Source organism: Homo sapiens, chromosome 12 (assembly GCF_000001405.40).
Source record: "Homo sapiens chromosome 12, GRCh38.p14 Primary Assembly".
Lineage (NCBI taxonomy): Eukaryota > Metazoa > Chordata > Mammalia > Primates > Hominidae > Homo > Homo sapiens.
Genome location: NC_000012.12, coordinates 126,652,614 through 126,667,227, shown reverse-complemented (window position 1 = coordinate 126,667,227; position 14,614 = coordinate 126,652,614). Strand labels below are relative to the sequence as shown.

At 39.6% G+C, this 14,614-nt stretch overlaps 1 long non-coding RNA gene across 3 annotated transcripts in view; it reads left to right on the top strand.

Annotated features, from left to right (window-relative positions):
- The window catches only part of LOC100996671 (uncharacterized), a 37,373-nt gene extending 23,091 nt beyond the window's left edge, over positions 1–14,282 (top strand). The window contains exons 2-3 of one of the 3 annotated variants that reach the window (NR_110034.2): positions 1,664–1,783; positions 14,141–14,282. This is a non-coding gene — a long non-coding RNA (uncharacterized LOC100996671). Of the gene's footprint in view, positions 1–1,663; positions 1,784–3,129; positions 3,550–14,140 lie in introns of those variants that run through there. The other 2 variants (NR_110035.2, NR_110036.2) reach the window with 2 other exon arrangements.
- Positions 14,283–14,614: the final 332 nt, after the last annotated feature.

The window sequence follows — 14,614 nt, the reverse complement described above, 5'->3', positions numbered from 1 at the left end:
GGAAACTATAACAAAACTGCATGCACTGCCCAAATTCAATGAAGATTCAGACTTTGCCATATTTCCTTTATTTATTTTGGAACCATTTCAAGAAAAATTACAAACAGCATGATACTTCTACTCTAAATACCTTATCACACATCTCCAAAAAATAAGGAATCTCCTGTATCAGCTAACACTATTTTGATGTTTAACAAAATTAGCAAATTATTCATTTCACCTGGTCCACATTTAAATTTCTCCAATAGTCCCCTAATTGTTTGGTGTAGCAGCTTTTAATGGATCCATGATCCAGTCAAGAATTAACTGATTTCACCTTAACTGTTCTCGTCTCTTCCAGTCTCCTTGCTCCTTATACTTTAGACTATCACTGGGTCCCCTGACCCCCTTCCTTTACTATTCAAACCCCAGATGGATTATTCTCTCAAAATTTATGCTACTTATTTTTCTCTCTTCAAGGGAGTGTCTCACCTTACCACTCAAGGGCACCACTCCAGTGCTACTGAATCTGGAACACCTACCATGTCTTGGATTTGACCTGTGGTTTATCATCTACATTTCCTGTCATTATTCCCTTTGCATGCTCCATTTTACCCATCATTTCTTTCTTCCAAATTTCTATCCATCCTTCAAAGCCTGAATTCCGTGTCTGATGTTTATTTGATTAGCTCAGATCAGAGAAACCCCCCATTTTTAAAATGTAACAACAATCAGTCCCATAAAGTCTTGAACTGAAGTTGTTTCTATGCACATTTGCTCCATCCATTGGCATTCTAAGACCTAGAGGCAGGGTTCCTGTCGAATTAGCTCTATGCTCCTAGTGATTTGGGTAGTCCCTGCTCCATGGTACTTACTAGGTAAATGTTTGGTGAGTGAATGAAGGTGTGAAAATGGTTAAAGACATGCTGATTCCATCTATTAAAGATACTCAAAGTGGCCACTATCCTGAGTACAAGAAAGCTCCTGTGGATGCAAATTCTTCAGGTTGTCTAAATATTTGAGTGACATAGAAAATATAATTCCAAACAGCTTAGGTACACAAGATAATTTGTTGATGTAACTCTTTATTGGAAGAAATGAATTCCGGCAAGGCTGGGATTGGGGCTCACACAAGGATACCAGGATTTGGTCTCCATCTCCTAAGTCTTCCCTTATCCATGTTAACTTCATTGTCAGGCTCCACATGGAATTGAGATGGGATCTGGGAGGGCTGTATCCTCTCAGGTTCAAGTCCTATTAAAAATATGTTTTTCCTCTACACAATAGCCCCAAAAAGTCTTATCTCTCATTTACTCATTAGGTCAGTAACTATTCCTAAAGTACTGTGGTTATGTCAATGAGATGCTTTGATTTCCCTGATATGAGGTACATATTTAATTCCAGAAAAGAATGAGAGCATTCTATGGAAGAAAAATGTTATCACCTTTTTTCCCCCACTGTGTGATAAAGTAAAAGATATCTATTGAAATTAATGAACATTTTAAAAGTTACTAAATCTAGAATAATAGAACAGATATGGATAAATTTGGTTCATTTGGGAACCAACTATGGTTTAGTACAGGAAGAGCAATTAAGTAGCTCTTATTACACCATAACCACTCAGTCTTCCTGACCTGCAGCAGATGTTCCTAGTCAATATTGTCACTTTTCCTTCTAACCCTAGATGCATATTTAGAAAAATCTCAGCACATCTCTGGGCAATGAAATCATTCTTTTGGGACCTGACACATGAACTGAAGTGTAATTGGCATTCTTCGTGGAAGGGGCATGGATTTAAATTGTCGTGAGTTCAAATACCAATCCCACCTAGCACTTACTATACAGGCGAATGTAGATAAGTGATATAACTCTTATAAGTTTTTATTTTTTTGTCATTTTGGAAAGTGGGAAAATTAAATATCTATCCATATATTAAGTGAGTATAGCTAAGTTCATAACCCAGGCAGTGTTAAATACGTGCTATTTTGCCTTCTCCTTCCCAAAAGAGATCCTCTCTGCACTGAGTGGAGCTTGTGGGGTCCTCTCTTTGAGGAATTGAAGGCAAAGAAACCTCAGCCTGTAATCAAGTAGTTATAACTCTCCCTATGAAATTCAAGATTGAGGGTTTCAACTCATCCAAATCACCTTGCACCACCTATCTTTGGACAAATGATAGTCTTGGAAGAACAAATGTGTTTCAGGACACTAAAAAGACTTAATCTATGATTGAAAAAATACTAGCCCACTCAGTACAAAACCTTTGTAAGACTTCACTGGAAAATTTTAACAATGTAATTTGTGACAGGGGGTTGCTGCCTTTAGAGGAGAGGGCATCCTGCATGGAGCTGCTTGGCTTAGGGATCAGCCCTGCCCCCAGGACACTTAAGGCAAATCAATAGCTCCTGGATAAGTTTCTCCTTTAGAGGCTGTTTACACTTATTTTTTTTTCTTTACTCTGAAGACACACAATCAATAAAACATGAGTGATTACCTAGCCTGAACTGAGTATTTATTTCTTATGCATCAAAAGTTTGGAGAAAGCATTTCGATTCCAAAAATTACCTTTTCTTCTTGTCCACTGGGAAGGTGCCCTTGCCTTTGAGCTTACATGTGACTGCACTGGAATTTGGTAATAATGCTCAATCTTTAATAGAAGTGTGAAATGGCATTTCTTTGTTGCATCCAGCTTTTAATTGACAAATAATTTTGAGTATCAACTATTTTGTCGGACCCTCCATTATGTATTAGGGGGTGTATCTGAGAGACTTGGTTCCTGCCTACGTGTGAAATTTGCTATTAAGAGGCAGATGTTAAACCATTTATTTCAAAATCCATCCTTTAATTGCATTTAAGACAATACTTATCAAGTAAAAGTGCACAATGCAATCTAAAGGTATAACTGGGTAAGCTTTTCTTAAATATATATTTTAAAGTTTTTATATAAAATAATTATGTTAAAATGTGTAGTATTTTTATTTTAGTAATGAAGAAAAATTGCACTTTGGGGAATATTTTGTGCTAAAATGACAGAAATCCCAAATAATAATAATTTAAATTAATAACTGTGGAGATGGGCAGTGCTAAGGTCATTTATCAGTGCTGTAATATCAGGTCATGGCATCACCGTGAGCCAGTCCTCTAAACTTTCAGGTTCAGGTATCATGGCCTTACATGATATTCATCTGAAGCAGGATGAGACAGAGCAGGCAGAAAAGGAAACATTTCTGACAATGTTCTGTTATGAAGAATCCACCTTTCCTAGAAGCCCCAGCAAACCTCCCATCGGACTCATAGGTGCAAACTGGCTGAAAGGCTCATTCCAAGACCAAGCACAGGTACAAGGGCCAAAACTGGCTAGAACAGGCATGACTCACCTTTTCAGCTTCTCAGTCATCTCCTCTCAAGGGCACAGGTCTGTTTGGTTGGTTTGTGAATAAAACTGGGGGACTGTTATTATGGAAGAAGCAGTGATAAGACCCTTTCCATAAAGAGGAGAGACGTGAACTGGCATATATCACCAGGACCACCTCCAAGTAATTGACTAATAAATAAAAGCTCTATTAGTAAGAATTATGGAATTTCTGTCTCATTTTTATCTCATGAAAAATGGTTCAAGATCCATTGGTTTCAATCTATAGTTCAAAAGGAATCCAGTCTCTTTTAAACAGCAAGGAGAAAATAAATAAATAAATCTCACGGACAACAGGGGTATTGCTTCACATGGCCTCACGGTGGCACTGTTGAAGAGTCATTCTGTGCAGATCCATGGGCTGCGTTGTTCAGGACTGCCTAGATCCCTGTGCTCAGGCACAGTTGGGTGCCAAATTATTGTCCTTTCAGAGTCATATACATCTTTAGCCATTTTCTTCGAATCACCACCTCTGTTCCATGAAGAATCCTGCAATCAGCTGCATGTTTTTTTGAAGCCAACTCTTTGAAATGAACTCTTACCACCTTTAACTGAGCCAGGTCACTGACTTCTTCCCACAAAGCAATTTTATTTCATAGATATGCAACTGAAGTTAGAGGAAATGCAGCATCCACTTCCACCCTACTGAGAGATCCTGGATTCTCTATGAAAATTAAGATTTCTACCTTCCAGAGTCAATTTTGTATGCCAAAAAGGGTAGGCCACTGAATACCCTTTTTGGCATACTCTGAATACCATAATTTTGTATGCCACTGAAATAACTGTATGAGAAGAGGAATTTCTCTGCCCTTTTCTATCTCCGTTTACTGGATAGAGTTCAATCTTTTGAGGAAATGAAGGCATGAATGAGTGTGGCTACTCAGATATTTGTCATATGAAAATTTTAAGAAAATAAATGTTTATATAACTAAGAGGGATGGTTCAAGTGACTTTCCTAGAGAAAACTTCAGCTGTGTCATTGTTTTCCTGCCTAGAAGAAGGTAAGACAGACGCAATTTTATACACACTGTCAATGACAACCTCGTGTACTCTAAGTCTTAGGAGGCATCCTAAAAGTCTCTTAAGAGATGCCACCTGTGCTTATCAGAGAGGAGCAGAATATGAAGAAAAAAACCCAAACTTTCAAATTCTTAAATACAAAAATATTGTTAAATAAAAAAACTACATCTCAGCCTGTGATGTTGCAATGCAGATTGGCTCACTACTGCAACAATGCTCAAGTCTGTGCCTTCTGCACATTTTTCTAATACATTCTAGGCAATCTCCAAACTCCTTGGGCCCTTCATTTCCAAACTTAAATAACTTTCTTATAACAGCCCTAGTGAACAAATATACCTATTTTTATTTGCTCCTCTGTTTGGTTTTTTTTTCTGTTTGGGGAATTCCCCAACTGAAGATTCTTTGTAGGAAGCAAAAATTACCACCCACTCCATAATATGAAATTGCCAGGGCCTTCTCCAACTCCCGTGCAGCTAGGGTGTAAGAGCCCAGCCTCGCCAAGAGAAGAACCTGAGCTGGCTTTTGTTTCAGGACATGTAAATGCAGCAAAGTCTTATGAAGACGTGATGGTAAATTTTAGGTGTCAACTTGACTGTATTAAGGGATATCCAGATAGCTCATAAAGCATTATTTCTGGGTGTATTAGTCCAGTCTCATGTTGCTAATAAAGACATATTCGAGACTGGGTAACTTATAAAGAAAAGATGTTTAATGGTCTCATAGTTTCACATGGCTGGGGAGGCTTCACAATCGTGATGGAAGATGAAGGAAGAGCAAAGCCATGTCTTACATGGTGGCAGACAGGAGAGAGCTTGTCCAAGGGGACTCCCATTTATGAAACCATCAGATCTTGTGAGACTTATTCACTACTACAAGAACAGTATGGGGGAAACTGCCCCCATGATTCAATTATCTCTACCTGTCCCTGCCCTTGAAATGTGGGGATTATTACAATTCAAGGTGAGATTTGGGTGGGGACACAGCCAAACCCTATCAGTGGGTATGCCTGTGAGGGTATTTCTGGAAGACATTGGCATTTGAGTAAGTGAGCTAAGTAAGGAAGATCCACTTCACCCATTGTGGGCAGCACCATCCAATCGGCTGAGGACCAGATTGGAACAAAAAGAGGAAAGAGGAATTAGTTATCCCTACCTCTCTCTTTCTCCCTCTCTCTCCTGGAGCTGAGACGCCCACCCTCTCCTGGCCTGAGAGATCAAAATTTCACATTTTCCAGACTTCAGACTCCAAGGCTTGCGCCAGTGGCCTTTGGGTTCTCAGGCCTTGACCTCAGACTGAGAGCTACACCATTTTCTCCCCCTAGTTCTGAGGCCTTCAGATGTGGACTGAGCCATGCTGGCAGCTTTCCTGGTTCTCCAGCTTGCAGACAGCATATTGTGAGATTTCTCAACATCCTAATTGTACCTGGTTCTCCCCCCAAAATCCCCTCTTATCTATCTATCTATCTATCTCTATTTAGTCTATCCATTTACCCATCCATCCACCCATCCATGTATCTATGTATCAATGTATTTATGTATCTATTTCTATCTAATCTATTCATCCACCCATTCATCCATCCATCCATTCATCCATCCATCTATCCATCCATCCACCCATGTATCTATGTATCTATGTAATGTATGTATGAATCTATTTATCCACCTATCCATCTATTTATCTAACTGGCTGTCTATCTGTCAGTCCGCCCATCTGTCCATCTGTCCATTCATCCATCCATCCATCCATCTATCTGCCTATCTATCTATCTCCTATTGGTTCTATTTCTCTGGGGAACTGTAATGCAGAGGGGCATAATTTCTGGAAGGATGGTGCATCTGCAGTGTTTACACCATTTTTCCCAGGGTATCAGTGGGAGTGGTTTCAGCTGCAGTGCTCACAGCCTTCTGTTAATGGTCTTCCCCCAGCACTTGCCTTCCTGGTCCCCTGATGGGACTAATACTTTAGCATCACTTGGGGCATTTTCCCTCCTTGGGTATCCTCTAAGCCTTTCCTTACTATCCTCCTGTGATTACATGAGCCTACCCAGTATCACATTAGTGCATCTCCATTCTCTGTAAAATAACCAGAGGTTCTTTCCCTTGCTTACAACTGAGAAACCTGGATGATTCAAATAAGATTTACAATAACTTCAGGTTTCTTCCATGGACAGCAAGTCTCTTTTACCGAAGCCACACAGAGTTCAACATGACATAGCCTGGTCGTTGTCTTTGTTTGTGGGACACAGAACCACCACCACACCACCCAGTGTTCAATGCTCTGCCCCATCCACAAGGAAATGTGGCGTAATTTCAGATTTCAGAGAGGAAGAAAGAACACTAGAATAAAACAGAACAAAACAGAATAGTTTAGCCTGATTTGGGCTCTACTACCTACAAGTCATATGATAATTTCACTGATCTTATAATTTCTCCATCCATGGACAGAATCAGCAATCTGCAGTCGATGGGTCCAACCATGGTATCATGTGTCTTTTTGTAAATGAAGTTATTTTAGATCATACCCACGGACGTTTGCTTACAAATTGTCTATGGCTGCTTCTGCTAGACAATGGAAGAGCTCAATAGTTGTGGCACATACTGTCCTGAAAAGTGTAAAGCATTTACTCTCTGTTCCTTTATGTAGAAGTGTGCTAACTCCACCTATGGAATGCAGATAACTCAAGCCTGCTTCTCAGTCTCTTGTGGGGCTCTTCCCCTACCCTCCTCCAACTGCTGTCCTTACAGTGCTGGACCAACTTCTTGCCTTTCTCAGAAAGTGGGGACATATTTTTCATCTCTATGCATGTGCACCTTGCTCTTCCTTCCATGTGAGATATCCTTAGACTTTCTTTCCTTGTCCCATTTCCCCTTGGCCTTCACGATACAACTGAAAATGATTTTGTGTCATGCCAGCTTTTCAGGTCCCTTCTCTAAGGTCAGTGGCATCCTGCCCTTGCCTCTATCCGCTTGTATAATTTTTTTGAGCCACTAATATGAAAACACCCAGCAAAGGATCACATCCTTCCTTTTCTCCTTTCTTGCATGTATCCCAACCAAAATCCTGGGTCATGTGTATGGGCTTTGGCTACACAGAAACCCTGAAAACTGTGGCAGTCGCAGTAACTGTGGGAAAACTTACATTGCCCATAGTTGCCAGGTGGGTCCACTCACAATCTCCAAAACTTTATTAACAACCATGGTATAACCTAAGGAAAGAGTTAAAATTAATGACAAGAAAAGTTAACAATGTAACTCCTGTGTTTTGTCCTTGACAAAAGTTCCTACGAGCTACATCTATAGGATTCTCTGGGGAGTGGTGCACTCTGATGATCACAGCTATACTGTATTTTCAACGTGTCCTTTCTCTCTCTCTCTCTCTCTCAGAAATTTTCTTGTGTTGATTAGACTAAATTAAAATCAGGGGTATAATGAATACATTGCAGGTACAAACAAGGATTTTATAGGCAAATCATTGAATATGGAAGCCTTGATATCATTCATGCTGATGGGATTCTCCTTTTACTGATAATCTTGTAGGAAGAAATGAGGCTAATGAGGGATGGGGCTGAAGAGGAGGAAATAAAGTGAAATTAACAACAAGTTTTGTAGAGTGTATGTAACAGTCCTAAAGGCCAACTGGGTCAAAGAACCGTGGGGCCAGCAGAACTTCTAGTTGCATTTGACTGGCCAGAGCACATGGATAGGATCATGCACTGAAGTCGCATAACAATCTCCAATTTTCCAAGTTTATTTATAAATCTGAATGCCAACGAGAAATCCAGGCAAAGGCTGACAGTCATTTTTTTCCTTGGTTCACAGCCATATTCCTAGTCCATGTAAATATATTGTGTTCATTTGAGCTTTGGTCTGCATTACACAGGTTAAAAATAGAGAAATCTTTCCCCAAATGGCAACTATTCTACGATCTAAGCTCTCCCTGCATGCACCAAATTGTCTCATAATCTCTCATTAAGCAGCAGTGAAATAAAAACACACAATTAGGAATAATTTTAATTATAAACTGCCCTCCCAGAGAGAACTTAAATTACAGTTAAAACATAGAAAATCAAATAAAATCCAAGAAAATATCAAAGAGCAAATAGAAGTCTCAAATAAAAGGTCCTTGCACAGAAAGCAGATTGCAGATAATTAGAAATAAAGCTGGAGATTCAATTACTTGGCTTTTCTTCTAAGAAGCTGATATTTATTTTTTACAATATGTCTGATTTTTAAAAAATCAATAAGTCACAATAATGGGAAAATGTTGAAATAATTCATTGTACTTAAATATTGAAATACAAATAATAGCATCATGCCATTTAAAATAATATATGATAGCAGCATTTACATTCAGGAATGAATGTTCCACAAACTTGCTTTCAAAAAGCCTTACTATCTTAACTGGGCTTCATGAATTTTAACTTTATGAAACAGGCACAATTATAAGATTGTTAAAAAAAGTAAGCAAAGGAATCCAACATTCACATATAGATGGAATAGAACTCATAATACAAATACTGGTGAAAATTACTACTTTTTAATATTTGTATATGTTCTTTTTAACTTTTCATATAAGCAATAAAAATAAAATATTGTATCAAAAAATAGCTACAATATGATTGAGCCCTATGAGAATTGCTGTAGTTTACCAAGTTTTAGACAAAGCAAGACAAATATCTATAAAATAAGTAATTTTTCTTCACTCACTTTACTACTTTTGACAGGAATTCATAGATTTCTATTTTCATCTCCATCAAAACATAACCATAAAAGGCTCGAATGACTTACATGATTCTCTTCATGAGATCTTAGTCTGTTTGGGATGCTATCACAAGATGCCATAAACTCAGTAGTTTAAAAAGCATGAATTTACTTCTCACAGCTCTGGAGGCTGAGTATTTAAGATAGAAAGCTGATGGATTCCACACCTGGTGAGGTCTCACTACCTCATTCACAAAGATAGCCTTCTCCCTGTGTCCTCGCATGGTGGAAGGGAAAGGTTCTGGTCTTTCCAGCCCCCTTTAAAGGCACTCATTCCATTGTGAGGCTCTACATTCATGGCCTAATCACCTTCCAATGGCCTCATCTCCTAACAGCATCACCTTCAAGACAGGCTTGGACATACGAATTTTGGTGAGGCGCACGCATTCAGACCATAGCATAGAGTGATCATCATCAGTGGTGTTTTAAAAGCTCTCGGGAGGCCAGACTGTCTCCTATATCCCAGTGTTTAAAGAATTTCGAAATCAAGACATTACACATCTTTATCTCTGTCTATCATGCATTTCCTTTGAACAATTTACTCCTTCCTCCTTCTTTTCCATCCTCTGTGGAGTAGTGGAGCTTGAGCACTCCCACATCCTCAAATCCATCATAGCATAAGTAAAGGTCATGAGTGCAACATGCTCTCAAGGTAAAATAGATAGCACATCCCTTTGTATTCTTAAATAGGCTTCAGTCTGGCTAAGCCTCCACCCATCAGGGATGGTAGAAAATGCAGTTGAGTAACTTTGAGGGAGATCTTCCCTCACTGTCTGTGATTGTCAGGAACGTAGAGACTTGTGCAAGCTGGAAGAATTGAAGAAACCCCTGGTCCTGAGTTCACCCGGGCTACTGCTCCTGGGGTCTCCTGTTTGACATCCATAGTTTCTGCTCAGAGAGAGCCAGCTCCCTTCCTTCAAGCTGAGCTGGAGATGAAGAGCCTCTGCAGAGGAAACAGATGCCCAGCTGCCTGCGCAGGCTCGGAGCTCCACCCGCTTGATGTTCTAGGGTGCTCAGGATGCTGGGTCCACACGGGGGAAATCCACAACCCATCTTTCACATCATCTGGGCCAATCCCCTTAGTTACTCCACCTCAATCTGCCCACTCTCCATAATTGCAACCCTCCTCTCTCTGGGAAATACCAGCCACTTAGAATCAAGAGTCTAGACATTCAGAGGCTGGGCGTGGTGGCTGGCGCCTGTAATCCCAGCATTTTGGGAGGCCAAGGTGGGAGGATCCCTTGAGGCCAGGAGTTCAAGACCCACCTGGGCAACATAACAAAAACCTCTCTCTAAAAAAATAGGAAAATTTGCCGGGCATGGCAGCATGTGCCTGTAGTCGCAGCTCCCTGAGAGGCTGAGGTAGGAGAATTTCCTGAGCCCAGGAGTTTGAGGCTGCACCATGAGCTGTGATGGGGCCACTGCCCTCCAGCTTGGGAAACGGAGCAAGACTTTGTCTGGGAAAAAACAGAAAAAAAAAAGAGTCTACACAATCTGAAATTAAGCTCTCCTAATAATTTACTTTGCTGTCAAAGACAAGCTTTTCCCTTCAGGAAAGAAAACTCCAGCTCGGGTTTCGGGTTTCTTTCTTCAGAGGGGTGTGGACAACCCTTATTCATCCATGATAATTCTTCTAATAAGAAATCAAGGAACAATCATTTTTTTCCTTGAAGCCATCTGAATCCATAGAACTTTCTCTTTCTAAGATGATTATCAGTCTTGGGCACACGTTTAAATCACCCGGAGACTTTTAAAACTCCCAGGCCCCCAGTCCAGGCTGCCCCAATCCGAACTTCTGTAGATGGGTCTTGGGCATCACGAAAGGGCAGGTAAGCCATCCTCAGGTGATTCTCTTGTGCAGTAAGCACTGAGAACTGCTGTTCTACAGCATGAGTTTCCATTACTCGAACAGAATCGTTGGTAACTGGTTCATGAGGATAGAGGCTTTGTATTGTGTTAACTGTTCTGCAAGGATCGTATGCATCCAGATGATGTTCTAGGAACTGTAAATATTAAGGGAAAAAACAGAAAACGTGACTGGGCATTGCCCACAAAGTACAACAGTTTTATGCTTTGTTTATCATAATATAGGCAAAAAGGAAAAATAAAGATTTATAAAATTAATATTTATAAAACAATATAAACATTACAAATTATAAATATTTTATTTATTTATAAAATAAATCAATGAGCAGGTATAAGAGATTGTCCTTAGAGATAAAAGCTAATATTAATTGACTACATATGGCAAAAAGCATGTTGGTATTGCTAAAATTGGTGGTGATGGACAGAGAATTATCAGCTTATGAGGGTTGCCTATTGTGCAGAGAAGGAAGGATTAATGCAGGAACAGGGCTCTGAAGATTTGATTCACTGTCTGTCTGCCAATGGCTCAAGCATACAGTGATCAGGTACAAGAGATTGCTCTTAGAGATAGAAACTAACATGAATTAACTACATATAGTGAAAAGCATATTGGTACTGATAAAACTGGTGGTGATAGACAGAGAATATCAGCTTATGAGGAAGAAGAGGGGACGCTGACTCCCCAGAAGCCATTCAATCCCCAGCCTCCCTTCACCCCTCCCACCTGCATGAGGCTGCTGCAGCTCTGTGGCACCAAAAACCATTGGCTCCCAGGATTCTACAGTCCAGACCGAAGTTCTGACTTCCTGCTCACAAGCTGTGTAAACCTGGATAAGTTACTTAACTTCTCTGTGCTTCTTACTGTCGCCTCAATTGTAAGACTGGTTTAACGATAGTGATTTGTTACCATGAGGGTTATAAAAGTAAACATTAACAGAGTGCTTAGATCAGTGCTTGGAAGGGCAAAAAAATGGTCCAAGATTTATTATGTGATACATTTATTCTAGTTGGGATCAAAGGCCGAGGTTGGTCAAAAATCTTAGAGGTTTACCAATACTACAATAACTTTCGTTACTAAAATTGGTTTTGGAAAAAAATATGCCTTTGTGGTTTTGAGAATGAAGCTCTCTGCCCCATCCCTGCAGCATTGTCCAGAGCTCTGGATTTTATGCAGGTGAGGCTCCACAGGTATAGAAGCCTCTGCTCATCTGTAGCAGTGAGCATGGTCTATGCTCTCTTTATTGCTCCTGGGCTGGATGGGATGTTGGAACCTTTGCAGGATAGTGCTGTGGGTGGACCTTGATTGATCCTGCTGCACATCCTGTCTGTGCTACTAACACTTGAGTTAATATCACAATAATATTGCTTGCCACTTATACATATGTGCAAATGGGAAGCCATCAGGATTAATGAACAGTGCTGGGCCTGGGAGATTAGATATAGATGCTCTTATAACTTACCGGTATATTTCCATATCTCTTCCTTTACAATGATTATGTATTACTTATATTAAAACTTGGAAAACAAAAATCCTGTTTTCAAAGATTTTAATGGTCCCACAAATTCTTAAGACATAATACTAAGTGGAAAAGCAATACAAATTATCTTAATAGTATCTTCTTTAAAATATACATATAGAAAAACTACTGGAAGTTAATACTGTTTATTTCAGGGATACAGGGGTTTGGGTACTTATATTTCCTTCTTTAGTTGTAATGAAAATTTTAAATTTAAATGACAAAACAGCTCCTTTACAATGGGAATTTGTATGTCCTAATCAAAAGACATGTTTAACTTACAAAAGAAATGGCATCATCAATTTTATCTATTGTACAAACTTTTAAAGAGTTCCTGTTACTAATGCTTAGGATTGTGTTGCTTGAACCTTCCGAAAACTACATATGCAGGAGAACTGTTGGCTCCTTTTTTCCTTCAATTACTGAGTTCTCTATTCTTGACATTCTGCTGAGTCTGTTAGATGATGGAAAAAAGCATATAGAATGTCTGGTACTTTTTGCTCAAGAGAGAAGGCATTAAATGTGATACTGGGTATTTTTCCAAATGTCTTAAATTGGGCTGCTAAGGTGTATGGGCTTGGCAGTCTTGACTTTGCTATAGGAGTCTTTTGGGAATGTACTGAGTGTGTCACGCAGTGTTGGAGGAAACTTTTTGACCTAGAGTCTTGCTTAATATTCACGTGACTGACTCTGCACAGAAGGTTGAAGCTGGCTGCTTCAAAGGGTCAACTATTGTGTGGGGAAGGAAGGATTAATGCAGAAACAGAGCTCTGAAGACTCGATTCCCTGTCTGTCAATGGCTCAAGCACACAATGATCAGGTACAGGAGATTGTCCTTAGAAATAGAAACTAATATTAATTACTGAAAACCTTTTATGCCATGATTAGCATAGAACTCACAGTACTTATGAAATTAGCCATGGTTCACAGTTCATCCTTTCTGACTTCGAATAAGGTTAAGATATGAGACTGGGCTGGGCGCGGTGGCTCACGCCTGTAATCCCAGCACTTTGGGAGGCCGAGGTGGGTGGATCACAAGGTGATGAGTTCAAGACCAGCCTGGCCAACATGGTGAAACGCTGTCTCTACTAAAAACTACAAAAATTAGCTTGGCATGGTGGCACATGCCTGTGGTCCTGTCTACTTGGGAGGCTGAGGCAGAAGAATTGCTTGAACCTGGGAGGCAGAAGTTGCAGGGAACCGTGATCGCTTCACTGCACTCCAGCCTGGGTGACAGGGCGAGACTCTGTCTCAAAAAAAAAAAAAAAAAATGAGACTGAACTTTACCAAGCAATGCAATTCAAAACAACGAAACTAGCATTTCAATACAATGAGAAAAACACATATTTGGAAACCAATGAAACCGCCAAAATAAAATATTTGATTGAGCATGACTGTGGACACAAATCCACCTCCCTAGGACAACGTGCATGTGGGATGTCTTGTGTATATTGGAAGCAGTTCCAGGAGTGAATGAACTAAATTCGTTTCCCTTGAGCTGATGACTTTTGTTCTATATTAAGCAATTCTTATAATGCACTAAATCTCAAAATAAAATTAATTAAATGTCCTCTCTAACCCTTCCTCAGATAATATTCTACTTTGAAGAACACCAGTAGACCGAAGCAAGATGACTAATTTTTAATGCCAAAGTATGCAAAACCTGCCACTTCACTGGCAAGCCATGAATTATTCATAAATATAGACTTGGTTAATATCTTTAAAAATGCAGCATATTTTGCCTTGTGATTTCTAGCTTCGATAACAGTTTTGGAATCATGACATATGAACCAAATTACAACAAGCCCCCATATTTATTTTCTGTAGACTAGGGAAATATGTTTACTGACTCAGTAAGAGATCATCAATAGATACCCGAAATAAGGAAATTAAACTCATCTTTTGCACAGCAGTTTTGCCAGTATTTGTGCTAGGAACACTGAAATAAAGAATGTATCATTTTAGGGAAATGTTTATTATCTGTTTTAACAGCTGAAGAATATTATTCAGTGGTTTCTCACTAGCTTTGCCTAAAAATTTTGATTAAATTGTGGGCCTCTCCA